This window comes from Homo sapiens, chromosome 21, assembly GCF_000001405.40.
Source record: "Homo sapiens chromosome 21, GRCh38.p14 Primary Assembly".
NCBI classification, from domain to species: domain Eukaryota; kingdom Metazoa; phylum Chordata; class Mammalia; order Primates; family Hominidae; genus Homo; species Homo sapiens.
The window spans coordinates 18546067-18566585 of NC_000021.9; the positions used below are offsets into that span (position 1 = coordinate 18546067).

Genomic DNA, 20519 nt, shown 5'->3' on the forward strand with positions numbered 1-20519 from the left:
GAGTCATCCATAGTCAGAAACCAAGGGGCAATGATTCCAGGAGCAATGTGAGTCCATGTGAAAATTGTTTTGTTACCATGTCACAACCATATCAAAACACATAGACTGCGAAGATCTGGGAAAACTTATACTTCCATTTAGAGTAGAAAAAAATTTTCCATGTGTTTTCTAATGTTTTCAAGCCATGTAAATATGCCCAGTCTTTTTGTTTCCTAGAAAGAATAGATTATCTTTAGAGGAGAATAGTTTCCATACAGCACTGAACTCTGTCGATTAATGCAATCATACATTGTTATTACTAAAACCTACACCAATCTATCTGAAAACATTGTGGTTTAATTTTATTCTTTTGAATGCAGTACATGAGCTTCTTCAGATATCGATTTCAATAACAGGTAGATTATACATTGTAAATGAAAATGAAATATCTGATCCACACTCTAATGTAGGTACCCGGTTAGGGTACCTTAGATAGGGTATCTAGAATTTTCCTCAGAAGTATTTCTAGAGCTCCTAAACCTCAGGAAAATTGGCTGAACCATTTCTCATCCCCAATCAAACACAAGTTCTAGAATGACCCAAGCTTTTCTGAATTAAGTAGACTGTAATATTTTTTTCTATGTTTGGTTGTTGACTACTGACTTCTATTATCAGAGTGCTGCTGGATTGGCCATTTACAATTTCTACTGCTCTTGTTCTTTTGGTCTTCACATTTCTTTTTTAATTCTTTCGTCTTCTGGCACTTTGGACTGAAGAAAAAAAAGTAAAAGAAGAATATAGGCAACTTTCATTGTCTACAAATTTGGGCAGCCAAATTTTTACTGCCTATGTACTGAAAAGAATCTTTCCTTTTACCTGTGGCACAATGAGAATTTCTGCATTATGCTAAAACATTGCAAACTGCCAGCAGCTCAATTATATATACTTTTATAGTTCATTACCCAAACCATCTCTCTCCCTGAGAAATCCTGAAATTTAGCTATGCCTCATTGATTCACAGTAGATATGCCACTCTGGATGTAGTTTTTTCAAAAGGAAAAAAAAGTGTACAGAATTAAAAACAACTGCACTCATTTACATATATGCTACTCTGTGATCTTGTCTGTTACTTTATTGCACTGAAGTTTCTGTTAGCCCATTGAGTGCTGTCATATTTGTTTGAAGAGCTTTCTAAAATCAAGTTCAGAATCTGATCTCTGTGTGGAACAACTGGCCTTCTTCTAAGCCTACCCTATTCATATCTGCAATTTGTTGAGCAGACAGAAGCTCTAACCCCACAGGAAAGTTTCCTGAATTTTATGATCATCATATTTATAACTATGTGCCCTTGTGCTTGATAGAAGCATGGGGATGTATCAGAACATAATGGTTATCACTAGAGGATACTATCACATTACCCCAATAATGAAGGTTTCTCTTGTATCTTGAATGCATGTAAGGACAAACATTATCATTCATGTTACTATGATTATTATAGTAGGAATTTTACTCAACTGCAACCTGGAGGAGTGATTCACCTATTCTTCATCTTCTTTTGTATTTTACACAGTTGTGTCTGTCATGGCTCCTTTTAAAGGACATACATATAATTCAAAAAATTTTATATCACACATAATCCCGGATGTTTGACTTACCATCCACCAGTGGACACCTGGGGCATCCAATATCCACCTATAATTTTGCTGTAGGAATCATTAATCATCTTCTATCACACAGAATATTCCAACTGGTTTAATGAAAAGTTTATCATTGATTATTACCCACAACTAGTCACAGAAGTTATCTTTGTTAATATCTCTGTAGCACAGATGAACATATCTCAATGGAGGTATCAGGCATGCAGGAGGAAGCATGTACATAGAAAATCATTCAATGACCACTAAGTTGGTTTTAATTTAATGGAAACTATTTTAAGAAAAATAATTTTGCAAAAATCCCAGTTATCTTTGATATAGCTTTCTGACAGACTATTTTTGTTTCTTAGTATACCCTCTAAAAAATACTGGAAAAAAACTGTCAAAATAATTTCAGGGCTTTTTTTTTTTTTTGCACAAAATGAGCAAAGCAGTAGTGTAGATTTCTGATAAATATATTTAAATTGTGTTAAAGTCTTCAGTTCAATGAAGATTCATGTTATTAAAATTGGCTTAACATTTGCTAACAGAACCATAATAAAGAAATGGAATTTTTCTTTATTTTATTAACAAAAGCTAAACAATTTGACCAAAGGATTCATTTAAAATGAATAGTGCTCAAATTCCTACTCATACTCTGTGGATCAAAATAGTATATTATGTTCTTCATTACATCAAGTTGAAAGTGTGTACTTTAAAAATATTTAAACCAGTACATTTTAAATAATGAAATATTAATTTCCAAATATTGGGCAGATGATGCAATAGTTTTTATGCCATATACTTTTCTTTCTATCTGAAACTCTTGAATATTTACATGTTGCTTAAACTGTTTCTTTTCTTATTAAAAGTTAAGTGTTGTTTTGAATAATTATAAATAATTTTAGGTGTGAACAATTATGCTTTGCTTGTTTTATTTAAGTCTATTTAATTCAATTTAAAATGTATTAAATTAAAATCCATTAAAATTAGTTGCATTAAAATTTAAATTTAGTAAAATTAAACCTATTCAATATAATATCATAGGAATATGAAACATCAATATGCAAAAACAAACAAACAAAAAACAAGCAATAAACCTGTTTCTCTTGAAATACATGAGTATACAATCTGGGGGCTAGATAATCAAGAAAGCTCACTAATTAAGAAATTGAAATAGGATTTCTTGTAGAACTAAAAGTGCCATTTAACTCAACCAGGATCCCAGTAAAAGATCCAAAAAGTACTCTGTTGTAGGCTAATTATCTTTCTCAATATGAGATGGCACAGGTCTCACTGGAAACAATTAGGCTAAAAAATGTTCATTTGTAAGTTCCTGTTTCTACTCACATATATTTGATATATTTGAATGTACAATTTTTGAAATTTTAGAAAAACTACTACATTTAGGAAAATACACATTTTTAATGGGAAACTGAAACAAAATATTAAACATCATCATAATGTATTTTAATATCATAAAAACTTTAAGCTTTCGTGAGGGAGTTTCTGTAGGGAGAAAATTAATCTGCCTTTCTTTTACCTTCCACTTTGTAAACTTCATTACAAGGCTTGTTAATTCAAGGAAAAATGTTCATTATTTTTAGCCTTTAAAGCTTAAAAGTACAATTGAGAATCATTCACTACAGGCACATCATTTTCCACTGACTGATCGCTGTCTGCTTTCAAAGAACAATCATTTGTAATCTTATGATATGATGGTGAGTAATCACCATCTTAAAGCGATTTCTTTCCTATTAACCTTTCTGTTAACTCCACAATTTGTTTACAACAAAAACAAATCAGTCAACACTTTTGTAATTTTCATTAGCAGCACAGCTTTTCTCTCTGATTCAAAAACAAAATCCTTGGTTGATGTGTTCATGAAATTCTGACTTTCTTTCCTGGAGTCTCTTTGCAGTATTAAAAACAGCATGGGTGAGTCTTTTTAAAAAGATTTGGAATCTGAGACAAATCAAAACGAGAGTTCTATTATCCCTAATATGCTCTTGAGAACAGTGATCAGATTCCTTAGCTGAGTCAGTTTCAGCACTCAAGTTTTACATGTGTGTGGCTGCTCTGAAAACCACAGAGATATTCTGTGAAACCTTTTCTACTTTGAGAAAAAAACAGGAGTCATATGCAACGGCTCCAGAAATTAATAGGTCTTGAACCCATTTTGTTTTAGATAAAAATTGAGTAAATACAGAATAATTTTTCTTTCTTTTTTATCTTTTCTTTGTTGTTGTTGTTGTTTTTGTTGTTGCTCCTTATCCTTGGCATAAGGAGTTGGTACATTAATATTGTTTTAACACAAAGATATACAGGTTTATTGTCTGGAAATTATGTATGCAGCTTCAATTTATTTTATAAAACATCTGTGTATGTGTGATATACAAAGAATTACAGTTAGCCCTAGTTCACCCAATGCAAACCACATAACATTATTTTTTCCTCTCACTGCATAACCTACCATTAATTTTATTAATGAGTTAAATCTTCAAATAACAGAAAGTCCTTGGATAATGACAAAGGTCAACTCCTCTGTGAGCTGGGCATTTAAAAATATTTTTAAAAGGTCAAACTAATTTAAAACACTAGTCTATACCCTTCAGCTACGTTGATCCACAACTATTTGTACCATTGTTTGTTGAAGTGCAGAGTACACTCTCTAATAAAAAGATGGAAAACAAAACAATGACAGTCACAGCCAGAGGTCAATACTGAAAAGATTTTTAAAAATTCTATTAATAAAGCTAACAGTATATGATTTGAGTAAATGGTGACAGGCAGTACTTTGTCAGCTGCTCTTGGAATACCTACCACTTTCATATGACAATTTTCCTTGCTGTGATAATTTGAATTTCCACCATAAAATAGCACTGCTGAGAGTCCGGCATTATATACTGTCACATGTAGTATTATATCTCAAACAGGATGACATGGTTCCCGCTCTCTAAGTACATCAGGAGTGAATGAGGAATACCCGAAGAAAACAAATACAACAATATCCTAACATTATGGCACAGGTAATGGCAAATTTTATCATTTCAATTAAAAATATTAAGTCAAGTAGAATTTATCAAACAAGTAAACTGTGGAAGATAACTCATTGTCAAGTATTTTTCTTAAGATTCCCTATAAAAATAAGGTGGCTCATGCCTGTAATCCCAGCACTTGTGGGAGGCCGAGGCGGGTGGATCACGAGGTCAGGAGATCGAGACCATGGTGAAACCCCATCTCTACTAAAAATACAAAAAATTAGCCGGCCGTGGTGGCGGGCGCCTGTAGTCCCAGCTGCACGGGAGGCTGAGGCAGGAGAATGGCGTGAACCCAGGAGGCGGAGCTTGCAGTGAGCCGAGATTGCGCCACTGCACTCCAGCCTGGGTAACAGAGCGAGACTCCATCTCAAAAAAATAAATAAATAAAAAAAATAAGGCTTATTATAGCACTCCAAATGCAGGTGAATTTATGTAAGTACAATCAAAACATACGTCTTTATTAATGCCTTTACTACTTAACGTTTTGAACAATATGTGTATAAAAATAAAGTCAAATCCATACGAAATCTTAATTTTTAAAAATTCTCGATGGAGCTGGTCATGGCAGAATCTAGGAAGAAGAGCAAGAGTTTTAAAAATCTTTATTTTTTTTAGAGCTACTTTAGTGACAGTTTATTTTTCCACCCAAACTTTTCTTTTAATCAAATTTATACTTGCAGCTCTTACCTTCTTTATAAATCACTGTAGAATAATCGCATAATTTGAAGTAGAAGGGAAAAAAATGTACTCTTAAAATTGCTCCCTCTTGTTTCCATCCCCAGTCAACCCAGGTTACATTTGCAGTCCTTAAAAATGTGATGAATAGGAAATAGAGTCATTTAAATTTATATGTCACCTAGGAAATGTATAGAAAGGAATCTAAAAGCTAAGGGACTTTTTAGTGATAATACACTCAGGATTTCATCAGACTTTTACAACAGTTAATAGGGTGAGAGATGGCATAGCTTCACAGTGCTAGAGATAATGCTCCATTCCCATAAGTAGTTATATAATACCAATCACAGCAGCACTTAGTCTTTAACAAAAGATCAAATGAGTTCTTTCTGGGAGTTACTTAATCCATAGATCAGGACAATAAAGAGACAGAGTATCACTGTACATTATTCAGAGGAAAGGACAGAGGGCAGTGGGTGTTGGGCAAAGGGTGGCTGTATGTGAGAAAGTCTTGCTACCAGGCTACTTTGACACAGTATTTGTACTTACAGGCTTCAGCATGGTCCCAATTCCTGCTCAATAAATCTCTAAGATTTAAAGATTTCTGAGATCAAAGAAAGTTTGAGGGATTTATTCCACTAGTCACTTGCCACAGTTCACATTTATAGTTAGAGGGTATAATTCCTTGCATTTGCAAAAGTAACTAGGGGTATTCACAAATACATATCTGAGCCTACTATAGTTATATAAACTATTGCATTTTGATACATTCATATAATTAAGTTAAACCCTTTAACCTGTAAGAGGATGGCCACTGAATCTGTATCCTTATCTCAGCACATTGAGCTTATTTGACTTAATATCTTAGCAGTTCTTGCCTGAAGTTTACAAAAGCATTGATGAACAAACTGGAATGATTTTTTAAAAAATGTTTAAACATTAACTATTAGTCCCCTTTGTATTAGTGAGGCTTCTGCAAAGAAATAGAACCAATAGTTAATCTCTCAGGATTATTCTAAGAAATTGGCTCATGCAATCATAGAGGCTGACAAGCACCAAGATCTACAATCAATCTGAAAACCCAAGAGAGCTGATAGTATAGCTCCAGTCCATGTCCAAGGCTTAAGAACCAGGAGAGTGAAAGTGTAGTTCCAGTCTGAGACCATGTAGGATTGAGACCCACGAAGACCCAATGTTTCAGTTTGAGTCTGAATGCAGGAGAAAACCAATGTCCCCACTTGAAGGCACTCAGGCAGGAGAAATTCCCTTTACTCCCAGGAGGGTCATCTTTTTTGCTCTATTCAGACATTCAACTCACTGAATAAGCCCCACTCACCTTGAAAAAGGCAATCTGTTTTATTTGGTCTACCAATTAAAATGTAAATCTCATCCAGAAACACCGTCACCCCCACACCTAGCACAATGCTTGAACAAATATTTGGGCACTCTGGATCCCGGTAATGTTGACAGATGAAATAATCATCACATTCTGCAAATGCATTTCTCTGTAGTTTCAGTATTTTACTCACTCAAACTGTAGTTGTTTTTGAGATAAGAGTCAATAAAGGTCATGCAAGGGCATTTAATCAGATATCTTAATTTTAAATAGTGGAAAGCCAAAAGAATCAGTTCCAATATTTTTTCCCTAGAGATCCACCAATAGTTCTCCATTGTTTTTATAGAGGACTTAAAGGTGATTCACTCAATTATCTTCCCAAAAGAACAATGACAGACTTAGTAGCGCCATCTAAATTATACCCCCCATATATATATTTTAGTGAGATATTTGTGGAACATCTTATAACAGATGCAGGTTATCAACTAAATTTCTCTTTTGATGTGGTTTTGTTTGGTCTTCTAAACAGTATTTTATAAAACAATTAAGAGTAAAATACTCAATCCAACAAATTTCTTTTGTCCACATGTCTAGGAAGGAATGTGCTTTATTGGTGGGTGGTTGACAATAATTGGAACATGGAGAATGAGTGTTTCTAGATGAACAGTGAACTACAGAGGGTGGAAAATATTATCATGCTACTCCCAATCACCAGCAAATGATTGACATTAATTTGTCAGTCTGGATTGCAATAAACCAAAATACAGTGTTTTATGGTAGAGTTATAAATATTATCTTCTTTAGTAATAAAAAAAATATAAAACAACACTATTGCCTGGAGGAGGTATTAAATAATTGTTATATTAATTGTAGGAAACCATAATGTCTCTCTTATTTAAGAGAAGCCATTACACACTCAATGTTAAAATGTGGAAAGGTGCAGAATAAGCAAATACATAAATTTTTAATAGGATTTGTGAATTATTCAGTTTATTTCTGTCTTAGTTACTTTGGACTACTATGGCACATTAGCATAGACTGGGTGGCTTAACCAAAATTTATGTCTCATTTCTAGTGTCTGGGAAGTCTGAGATCAAGATGCTGGAAGATCCAGTGTCTGATGAGGGCTTACTTCTTTGTTTGCAGAAAACTGACTTCTTGTTGTATCATCATATGGCAGAAGGAGAGCTAATAAGCTCTCTAGCCTCTTATAAAAAGTACTAATCCCATTTATGAGGCCTCCACTCTCATGACTTAATCACCGCCCAAGGGCCCCACCTTCAAATACCTTCACATTGGGATTAGAGTTTTAACATATGAATTTCGAGGAAACAGATTCTGTCTATTGCAGTCCCTTATTTTAGCTATCAGCAAGTTTGGCCAAACCAGTATTTTTCTCTTAAATTTAATTTTAGCAGCCAGATTATGATATCACTGACTTTCATCATGCTGCACATATTAAAATGTACAAGTTGACAAGTTATGACCTGTGTATACAACTGCAAAACCATCACCACAACCAAGATAACCAGCATATCCATCATCCCAGAAAGTTTGCTTAGGCCTCTTCCTAATTATTTCTCATTGCTTTTCTCTACTCACTCTCACACAGTTTCCAGAAAACTACTAATCTAATTTTGTTCACTCTACATTAGTTTGCATTTTTGAAAAATGACATAAAGGGAATTACATATTATAGCACACATAATTTTGTCTGGGTTCTGTCATTCAGCATAATTATTGTGAGTTTCATCTGTATCATGTGTCAGTAGCTCATTCCATTTGATTGCTCAGTAGCATTTCATTGTATTCATATACCACAATTGTTCATCTATTGACCTGTTGACAGACATTAGAGTTGCTTACCAATAAAACTGTAGAAACATCTGTTTATAAATAATCATACAGATAAATGCTTTTATTTCTCTTGAGTAAATTCCCAGTAACTAAAGAGATGGCTCATAAGTGTAGGTGTCTATTTAACTTTTCAAGAAACTGCCACTCTGTTCCCAAAATGGCATTATCATTTCATTTTCTCCACAGCAGTATATGAGAGTTCCAGTTTTTCTGTATTCTCACAAACACTTGGTATGATTGGCCATTTTTGTTTAAAGCCATTCTGATTGGTATATAGTAGTATTTTTATGACAGTTTTAATTTGCAGTTTCCTTATGGACAATGATGTTGAGCATATTTTTCCTGTGCTTATTTACCATCTCTCTATACCTTATGGTAGGGTGTCTGTTAAAATATTTTGCCTATTTTTAATTGATAAAATTCAACACCCATTATTATTAAAAAGTTTCAGCCAACCAGGAATAGAAGGAATCTTTCTCAATCTGATATAACATCTTGAAACATCTATAGCTAACATCAAACTTAATGGTGAAAGGCTGAATTTTTTCTTTTTACTAATATCAGGAACAAGACAAAAATGTCCAGTCTTACTATTTCTCTTTAGCATTGTAGTGGAGCTTTGGCTAGTGCAGTTGGGCAAGAAAAATAAATTAGAAAGAAGTAGAACTTGTTTTTACATAGATGACATGATTATGTACAAATTCTGACCAAACCTATGAAAAAGCTACTGGAACTAATAAACGAGATCAGTAATTAAAGTTACATATACTAGTAATAATATTTAAATATTTTGTTAATTTTAAAACTATCATGTATAATAGCATAAAAGTATGAAATATTTAGGAATGAATCTGATAAAACATGTGAAATATCTGTATTCTCTACTCTGAGAACTGAAACCTTTATAATGTTGCTGAGAGAAATTAAAGAAGACCTAAATAAATGGAAGAGATAAATCATGTTCATACCTCTGGGTACTTAATATTTTTAAGATGTACATTCACCTTAATTTGCTAAAAATTCAATAATATCCCAATCAAAATCCTAGGGAGCTTTTGTTTGGTGGAATTAACAAATCGGTTCTAAAATTTATATGGGAATCCACAGTATCTACAAGAGCCGAAATACTAGTGAAAGTGAATAACAGAGTTGGAGAACTAACATAACTAAGAACTTAACATAATTTCAAGACATACTACAAAGCCATTATAATCAAGACTGTGTTATGGTTTTTAAGATAGATACATAGATCCATAGAACAGGGTAGAAAATGAAGCAAAAAAATATATATATATATACAGACATATATGAACAACTGATTTTCAAAAGAGTAAAAGTTTTTCTTCTAGGGTTTTTATGGTTTTGAGTTTTACATTTAATTCTTTAATCCATCTTGAGATAATTTTTGTATAAGGTGTAAGGAAGGGGTCCAGTTTTAGTTTTCTGCATATGGCTAGCCAGTGTGCCCAGCTATTTATTGAATAGGAGATCCTTTCCCCATTGCTATTGCTTGTTTTTGTTTTTTTGAAAATCAGATGGTTGTAGATGTGTGGTGTTATTTCTGAAGTCTCTGTTCCATTCCATTAGTCTATATGTCTGTTTTGATACCAGTAGGTTACTGTAGCCTTGTAGTACAGTTTGAAGCCAGGTAGCGTGATGCCTCCAGCTTTGCTCTTTTTGCTTAGCATTGTCTTGGCTGTATGGGGTCTTCTTTGATTCCATATGAAATTTAAAGTAGTTTTTTCTAATTATGTGAAGAATGTAAATAGTAGTTTGATGGGAATGGCATTGAATCTAGAAATTACTTTGGGCAGTATGGCCACTTACACAATATTGATTCTTCCTATCCATGAGGATGGAATTTTTTTTATTTGTTTGTGTCCTCTCTTATTTCCTTGAGCAATGGATTGTAGTTCTCCTTGAAGAGGTCCTTCATGTCCCTTGTTAGCTGTATTCCTAGGTATTTTATTCTCTTTGTATCAATTGTGAATGGGAGTTCATTCATGATTTGGCTCTCTGCTTGTCTATTGTTTGTGTAAAGGAATGCTTGTGATTTTTGCACATTGATTTTGTATCTTGAGACTTTGCTGAAGTTGCTTATAAGTTTAAGAAGTTTTGGGGCTGAGGTGATGGGGTTTTTCTAAATATAAAATCATGTCTTCTGCAAACAAAGAAAATTTGATTTCCTCTCATCCTATTTGAGTACGCTTTATTTCTTTCTCTTGCCTGATTGTCTTGGCTGGAACTTCCAACACTAAGTTGAATAGGAGTGGCATCATTCAGGACATAGGCATGGGCAAAGACTTCATGATGAAAATGCCAACGAAAACCAAAATTGACAAATGGGATCTAATTAAACTAAAGAGCTTCTGCATAGAAAAAGAAACTATCAGCAGAGTGAACAGGCGACATACAGAATGGGAGAACATTTTAGCAATCTACCCATCCGACAAAGGTCTAATATTCAGAATCTACAAGGAATTTAAACAAATTTACAAGAAAAAAACAAACAACCCCATCAAAAAGCAGGCAAACAATATGAACAGACACTTCTCAAAAGAAGGCATTTACATGGCCAACAAACGTGAAAGAAAGCTCAACATCACTAATTATCAGAGAAACGCAAATCAAAACCACAATGAGATACCATCTTATGCCAGTCAGAATGGCGATTATTAAAAAGTCAAGAAACAATAGATGTTGGCAAGGTTGTGGACAAATAAGAATGCTTTTACACTGTTGATGGGAATGTAAATTAGTTCAACCATTGTGGAAGAGAGTATGGCGATTCCTCGAGGATCTAGAACCAGATATACCATTTGACTCAACAATCCCATGTCTGGGTATATACCCAAAGGAATAGAGATCATTCTACTATAAAGACACATGCACACATATGTTTATTGCAGCACTATTTACAATGGCAAAGACCTGGAACCAACCCAAATGCCCATCAATGATAGACTGGCTAGAGAAAATGTGGTAGGTATACACCATGGAATACTAAGCAGCCAAAAAAAGGAATGATTGCATTTCCTTTGCAGGGATATAGATGAAGCTGGAAGCCATCATCCTCATCAAACTAACACAGGAACAGAAAACCAAACACCACGTGTCCTCACTCATAAGTGGGAGTTGAACAATGAGAACACATGGAAATTGAGAGAAGGGATCAATACATACCAAGGCCCGTTGTGGGTTGCGGGGGTGAGAGGAAGGAACTTAGAGGACAGGTCAATAGGTGCAGCAAACCACCATGGCACACGCATACTTATGTAACAAACCTGCACGCTCTGCACATGTATCCTGTTGTTTGTTGTTGTTATTGTTCTTGTTTTGTAGAAGTAAAGAAAAAAATAAAAAAAAGAAGAAAATTAATTCAATGGAAATAGGAGACTCATTACAACAATGGTGGTATAGCAATTTAATGAACTTTGGCCTGTACCTCACATCATACACAAAGTGAACTAAAAAAAGAATAAGCATAAATGCTAAAACTTAATAAAAATGATTTTATAAGTTAGTTTTAAGACACACAGAGAAGGTTCTCCACATGTAATAAAGTAATGAGAGGTAAGGCAGGAATCATGAAGAACTATGATTTATTTCTTAAATCTGTAAATATTCATAATCAATGAGAGAGGATGTAGGGGTACACAGTAATATTGATGAGGTAAACAAGTGAATTCTTAATCAATAGTGGTCATTGTCCTACTTCTTCCTAAAAGGAATTAATTTCCAACCAAACCTGGATAATATTTCTTCTGTTTTTATTCTTCACATGAATAGATAGAGTTACCTCTAAGAGTTATAGAGTTGGGAATTTTGTCCAGCCCTGACATTTATTGAAACAAATGTTATCTATCAACTCAGTGATATAAATTTTAATTTTCAATAAATGAGAATCTCTTAAAGAAATAATGGTAGTAATAATGATGAAATATCTTTGCAAAAGATATCAAAGTTTCAGATTGTATAATAGTTTGAACATCAAGTTGATCATTTGAAAAATTTCGTTAAGTATTCAACTTTGTCCAAAGGATGTAGACCTGTATTAGGAGACATAATAAAATATTATCAATAATAAATGTGCCTTATTTGAATAAATTAATATTTGAGAGCCTTTCTGACTGACAATGTCAGCAGGAAAAATGGAAATGAAACATTTGCATTAGCAGATTCAGAAGTGCTAGAAAAGGTACAAATACGGAAGCTGGGGAATTTCACGGTTCTAACTACTAACAATAGAAAAGAATTTTTATACATGCCTTTGGGAGTTAAAATAAGAATTAAACATTGTTTTATATCCTTACATTTATTTTCAGAAATAATTTCACCTATGTTACTGTATTTTGGGAATAGCCTCTATGACTATTCAGAAAATATTTATAATCTCAAAATAAGAGTGATTGAAACACACATAAAAAAATCCAGAGGCAGAAGTTATAGGGCTTCCTTCCTATCGAAGGGTCCAACATTCTTCTGTTTTCTACTCCATCATTATTGATTCCTGTATCTATTATCAAGTCAAGTCATACATACTCCAAGATGGCTACTGAAGCCTGGACCAAATCTGCTCTTTCAATTCAACAGATGGGGAAAGACATCAAAAGGGTACATTGTCAACTGAATAGACTTTCTTTAAGGAACCTTCCTGAAAGTTGAATACATCCATTCTCTTTACCTCTCTTTAATTAGAATCTAGATTATATGGCAACAACAAGATACATGGGTTATATCATTTTGTAGCTTGGTTTACCTTATAAATTGTATATGACTTTATATGGGAAGAACATGAGGATAAATGTTGGGTAGGCAACTAGCAAGCTCTGTTGAAGTCTCTATTGTTATTAGGCCACACTAAATTTTCACATTTTTTCTCTATTTTGGGGGTACAGAATATTATCAGTTAGGAACAATCATTCTTAAATGTATAGCTATACACATGACAAGTATGCAGTACAATCATTCTTAAATGCATACATATACACATGACAAGTATGCAATTACAATGCTGGAGACAGTCTGAGTTTGCATTTCCACATGTGTGCTCAGAAAGTACTTTTTAAATACTTGCCTTAGTGTCATAATCAAATAGTATTGTATAAATAATTGTACCACTTCAACATTATTCACTGGAAGGCACAAACTGTACTTAATGCATCTGTATCAGTCAACTGTTGCTATATTATAAACAATTAACACAATCTCAGTGACATTAAAAATAAACATTTCCTCTCAAGCATCTGTTAATCAGAGAGGGCAGCTCTTCTGACCTCAGTTGGACAGACTCAGTAATCCACTTATTAAGCTCAGCAACTTGATTCTTCTTCAGGTACCTAGCAGTGAATAAAGAAACAAGCCTAATGCTGTAAGCCCTTGGTTGTGTCAATTGCACAAACCAAGTCACTTAGTTCAAAGTCGAGAGTCAGGGAAGTAGATTCCTTTGTAAGAATTGTACAACTACATGAAAAGGAGCAATGATATAGGAAAGAATGGAGAATGGGCTGGCAATTAAACCTACCACAGTAAAAATCCTCCCATATAAAGTCATATTGAAACCTCCTGAATTTAGGGCCTGACATAGTTGACCTCATTAAACAGATTATAAAATGAGGACGGAAATACATTTTAAACCACCACTTTGTTCAGGCTTCTTTGCCCATACCTTCTTAAAAACATTTCCTTAAAAACATTTCCTATATATAGCTTCACATTATTTCTTAAAAATGATCATTGAAGTTTAATATATACCAGTTTTCTACTACTTTAATAAGTTCTTTAATATTAAGAACTTATTCATGAGCTGGGTCTAATGGCTCCCACCTGTAATCACAACACTTTGGGAGGCCAAAGCAGGAGGATTGCTTGAGCCCAGGAGTTCAGGACCAGCCTGAGCAACACGGCAAGACCTTGTCTCTACAAAAAATATTAAAAAAAAATAGCCAAGTCTGGTGATGCATGCCTGTGGTCCCAGCTACTTGGGAGGCTGAGGTGGGAGGATCATCTGAGCCCGGGAAGTAGAGGATGCAGTGAACTGTGTTCGCACCACTGCACTCCAGCCTGGGCAACAAAGAGAGACTTTGTCTCAAAATAAGTAAGTAAATAAATAACTTATTCATAATTTCTCATCTGAATGCCTCCTACTACTGGTTGCACAATTGGTTCATCATTGTGTCAAGTCTTCCACTGTGCCAGAACAACTGTAAATATAAATAAAACCTAAGGAATGTAACATAAATGAGGATTCATTAAAGTCTAAGGATTAAACAAATCTATATATAAAGTATTGAAAATAAATTCCTGGCAATAAATAACACTCATTTTATAGTATGTTGTTATTAAAGACATTTTACTGAACATGAATTCTTTGCAAGATAATGTTATAATAAGTTAATATTTAATTTTTTTAAATTGGACATTTTATTTTTTAAAAAGACCATGAAAAGTCGTGCTTTTCCACTTACAGGCTGCATGACTTGGGCAAATAATTCAGCTGCTATGATTCTCAGATGTATTCTTTTTACATAATACATATGAGATTTAAAATAAAATATATATCTGAAATACTTAGCAAAGTGCTTGGCATATATTATGCTGTAAATAAGTATTATCTTTTTTGTTGTCTATTTCCCTCTATCAGTCAGAGTCAATTCAGAAAACAAAATCACATCAGTTACTTTACCAATAGAATTTAATGTAAACAATTGTTAACCATGTACAAATTTGTTAATTAGCTTATAAGAAAGTCCTGGTGATGACTCTTAAGGAGCATGCTGCCTTCAAGCATCTGTTTAACAAAGCACATCTTGCACTGCCCTTAATCCATTCAACTCTGAGTTGACACAGCACATGTTTCAGAGAGCACGGGGTTGGAGGTAAGGTCATAGATTAACAGAATCTCAAGGCAGAAGAATTTCTCCTAGTACATAAGAAAATGGAGTCTCCTATGTCTACTTCTTTCTACACAGACACAGTAACAATCTGATCTCTCTTGCTTTTCCCCACATTTCCCCCTTCTCTTTTCGACAAAACTGCCATCGTCATCTTGGCCTGTTCTTGATGGTCGCTGTCTCTTCGGAGCTGTTGGGTACACCTGCAGACTAACAACAGACAAAACAGGCACACAAGGATTAATATGAGATTTATAATCGTAGTACTTCCAATGGTCTTAACTCAAGTGACAGGGTTAAGATTTGCGAGGCCATCAGCAACTTCTGCAGTTGCCTGAGTTCCTGGCACCAAATTTAAATGGGCTTTTGATGCTTCGAAAATTTGTTCTTTTAACTTGGAAATGTCTAAAGTGAGAGTATCTTCTTTTCCTTGTAGATGGCGTCTAACCATGTCCTAGTGATGCTTAGACTCATTATAAATTTGGGTTGTAATACAAAAATCTGACGTATTCTAGTCACACTGTAACTGGAAACGATGTTCTAAGCTCATGAGTCTGTCTTCCATCTAAATGACAGTTTAAGATCATTAATTTGATTTACCAATTTTTGATCAATACTAGATTGTGAATTCCACAATCTTGTAGAATTTTTTTGCCAATCATTAACAAAGTTCACTGACTGAACAGAAGAGTGCAATGCAACTCTTGCTACAGCAGCCGTAGCTGTGACTGCAATTAATCCTATAATCACTGCAATTAAAGTAAAAATGAATCTTTTGGATCTATTTAAAACACCTTTTAATACTTCAGTCAAAATATGGACGGATGGCGAGGCCTCCTACGGTCGGTCCATGGACACAGGGATCCACACGCCTTCTCTTGCTCTCACCAGCAGAATACGGTGTTGCCAATTAAAAGTTGAATCAATGCAAGTAAGCAATCTACAATTTTCACAGGTTATAGTCTGGGAGTCTGGTTTAATAACTATATTTCTTACAACTAGCATATAAGGGGGCTTTACGCAACTTTGTAAAGGAACCGTTAGACTGGAATTTAGGTCGATAGTATAAAATGGCTTATGATCTCTTGTTTCTAAAGTTTGATTTCCAGACCAAATTCTAATGTGGTGTGAGGCCACAGTAATCCTCCATAATTCTGGATGTTCAGGACCAGAAACAGGACTTATTATTTTTGGTCTTGGGGTAGAGATTCCTTTTTCTTCCCATTCCTAAGGGTAGAAAGACTGCAATTTTTTATGCTTATGTTTGTCTAAACTTTCTGTTAAGTCGCTATCAACAGCTGGACTCACTTGTGCACTTGGACACGACTGAGTTTGTCCTGAGCAATTGTGGTAGAATTGACCTCGAGGTGCCCAATCTATAATAGTTCCGAATTCATTGTTTTGTAATATCACTGCACTATTGGCCACACATTCTTCCTAAACTAAAACTTCTGTATTTTTTGATTCTTTGGGAATTTCCTTGGGGCAAGGTTTCTCTTTAGGTCTAAATTTTAATGATCTTTGATAAGAAAAGTCTTGTAAATAATTTACCTGTGGCCTGAGTGACATCCTGCTTACCATGTGATAAGTGAATCTACTGATGGGACTGACAGTAGGTACTTCTACCAACCAATTTTGGACTGCAGGCATTAAACATCTTGGTGCTCTCCCTAGGCAAATAGGAAGATAACGATACCTAATGGAAATATTTATCATCATCCTTTCTTCCTCAGGTTTGGCAGGGCAGCGATTATCTATGGGGCCAGGTACCTATACACTATCATTAACATATACTTCTATAGGATTATCCATCCATGTGACTGGTGTTACTACCTCCGTGGAGGCCCTTTTCTTTGCATCTCCGACGGGTTCATTGTAGAACTTCAAATGTCTAGTGGGTATCCAAACAGGAAGCTGATTTTCTCCTGGTGAAACACAAGCAAAACCTCTCCCCCACGTTATCACCTTCCTTATTTCCTATGTCTTATTTTTATTATCTTTCTACTAAATTAGGTTTCCTTCATGTGGGCTGTTCTTTTTACCAGTAAGATGTTGTTCTGCAGAAGTAGTAGCCTGATTTCTGTAAATGTTTAAAAAATTTAAAGTATAGAGTGCTAGATTAAGTTGCATCTGAGGAGTGGTACACTCCTTACTGTCTCCCCCTTCTTTTTGTTTAACTAATTGAGTTTTGAGTGTTCTATTAGTTCTTTCAACTATGGCTTGTCCTTGGGAATTATAAGGAATTCTTGTTGTATGTGAAATTTTCTACTGACTTAAGAATTTTTGGAAAGCTTTACTACAATATCTTGGTTCATTGTCAGTTTTGATTTTTTCTGGAACTTCTATTACAGCAAAACAAGACAATAAATGTTTTTTAACATGGGAAGTACTTTCTCCTGTTTGGCAAGTTGCCTATATGAAATGTGAATAAGTATCAACTGTTACATGAACATATGATAATCTTCTAAATGAAGGTACATGCGTGACATCCATTTGCCATAATGCATTAGGACGCAGACCTCTGGGATTAACTTCTGCCTCTTGAGTGGGCAGGTGTAAGACTTGACACTGGGTGCAATGTTGTACAATATCTTTTGCCTGTTTCCATGTGACATCAAATTTGTTTTTTAATCTTGCTGCATTTACATGAGTCAAAGCATGAAGTTCTTGTGCTTTTATGAATGCAGATGATACTAGTAAGTCAGCTTGTTCATTTGCTTTAGTCAAAGGCCTTGGTAAATTAGTGTGTGCTCGAATATGAGTAACATAAAATGGGAAATTTCCTTTTTTTACAGTTTGTTGTAATAAATTGAATAGCTGGTTTAACTGATCATCCATGCTATATTTAATTAGAGCTGTCTTAACATCTTTTGTAGCCTGTACTACATATGCAGAATCTGATATAATATTGATAGGTTGGTCAAAATCTTGTAACACTGTAATGACTGCAACTAACTCTGCTCTTTGAGCTGATTGATATGGAGTTTTGATTACTCGTTCTTTCAGCCTTGTGTAAGCTGCTTTTCTATTGCTGGAACTATCAGTAAATACTGTTAGAGCATTTTCTAAAGGTTCACGTCTGGTAATTTTAGGTAGAATCTAAGTAGTCAATTTTAAGAACTGGAAGATCTTTGTTTTTGGGTAATGATTATCAATAATTCCTACAAAATTAGCAAGACTAATCTGCCATGCACTAGAATTGATAAAGGCTTGTCTAACTTGTTCTTTGGTTAAAGGGACAAGTATTTTGTCTGGGTCATTTCCACATAATTTTATTATTCGTAATCTTGTCTGACCAATTAATGTAGCTATTTGATCCAAGTACAATGTAAAAGTCTTAATTGTACTGTGAGGAAGGAAGGACTACTTCACAAGATCAGTATTTTGAATAATGATGCCTGTTGGAGAATGTGCAGTGGCAAAAATCAAAAGTTGGAGTGGGGCTAAGGGATCTATTCTATTTATTTGCGCTGACAGAATTTTTTCTTCTACTAATTTAATTTCTTTTGTTGCCTTTGGGGTTAACATTCTTTTACTATTTAAGTCTGAGTCTTTTCTTAAGATAGAGAACAAATTTGACATGGCATAAGTAGGAATGCCTAGAGTTGGCTGAATCTAATTAATATCTCCTAGCAATTTTTGAAAATTATTTAGTGTTTTTAATGTGTCTTTTCTTATTTCTATTTTTTGTGGCTTAATTTTTCTATTTTCTATCTGCATCCTTAAATAATGAAAAGGAGTAGAGGTTTGGATCTTATCAGATGCTATTGCCAGTCCTGCATTGGCAACCTCTGCTTGCAGAAATGTATAACAGTCAATTAATTTATCTTTCGTTTCTGTAGCACATAAAATATCATCAATATAATGAATAATATAACAGTCTGAAAACTTGTCTTTAACTGGTTGAAGAGCTTGACCTACAAAAGTCTGACAAATAGTTGGACTATTAAGCATTCCTTGAGGTAACACTTTCTACTGAAACTTGGTGGCTGGTTCTTTATTATTTATGGCTGGTATAGTAAAGGCAAATTTTTCACAATCCTGCTCCGCCAGAGGGATGGTAAAAAAGCAATCCTTTAGATCAATTATAATTAAAGGCCAATCTTTTGGGATCATGGCTGGAGAGGGCAACTCGGGTTGGAGAGGCCTTATGGGTTGAATTACGGCGTTTACGGCCTTTAAGTCAGTTAACATATGCCATTTGCCTGATTTCTTCTGAATTACAAACACAGGAGAATTCTAAGGTGAGAATGAAGGCTCAATATGACTTTTTTCTAACTGTTCATTTGTTAATAAATGTAAAGCCTCTAGTTTTTGTTTTGGTAGCGGCCACTGATTTACCCACACCGGTTTTTCTGTTTTCTAAGTTAATGGTATGTGTTTAGGAGGCTCCACAGTGGCCGCCTCTAAAAAGGATACCTTATTCCTTCTTTTTCTTGATTTATTTTAGCCTCAACTGGAACTTTAATGCCATCTTCATTTTTCTTTAGTCCTTTTCCTGGTATATATCTTATCTTGGTCATGATTTTTTGACTCGTGGGGCTATATAATGGAGTGGGCATGGTGATTTCCCCACCTCATTGTTATAATAAATCTTGACTTCACAGATTAAGAGGAATTGAAGTAATCATTGGCTGAACAGTACTTTCTTGATTATCTGGCCTTAAGCAATGTAAAATCTTAGTACTTTGATACACTTCTGAGGCTGTGCCTATGCCGACAAGTCTTGTAACAGCCTTTTGTTTAGGCCAATTTTTTGGCCACTGATTTAAAGCAATGATAGAGACATCTGCTTTAGTGTCTACTAACTTTTCAAACTGTTTTCCTTGAATAATGGCCTTACACACAGGTCTGTTCTTTGAGACTTGACTTGCCTAATATGCAGCCTTTCTTGTTGGATCAGTGCTTCCAAGCCCTCCTATTCTTTTTATTTCACTATTTCCACCTTTAATATATGGCAGGAGTAATAATTGAGCAATCTTGTCTCTTGGACTGGCACTTCAAGGAATTGAAGAGCTAATAACTAACTGAATTTCGCCTTTATAGTCTGAATCAACTACACCAGTATGAATTTGAACTCCTTTTAGATTTAGACTTGATCTTC

The 20519-nt window shown here is 34.5% G+C and overlaps 1 long non-coding RNA gene across 1 annotated transcript in view; it reads right to left on the bottom strand.

Moving 5' to 3' along the window:
* Positions 1 to 15198: 15198 nt before the first annotated feature.
* MIR548XHG (MIR548X host gene) overlaps positions 15199 to 20519 on the bottom strand; it is a 198548-nt gene continuing 193227 nt past the window's right edge. Inside the window, exon 4 of the long non-coding RNA NR_109925.1 lies at positions 15199 to 15625. This is a non-coding gene — a long non-coding RNA (MIR548X host gene). The remainder of the gene's footprint in view (positions 15626 to 20519) is intronic.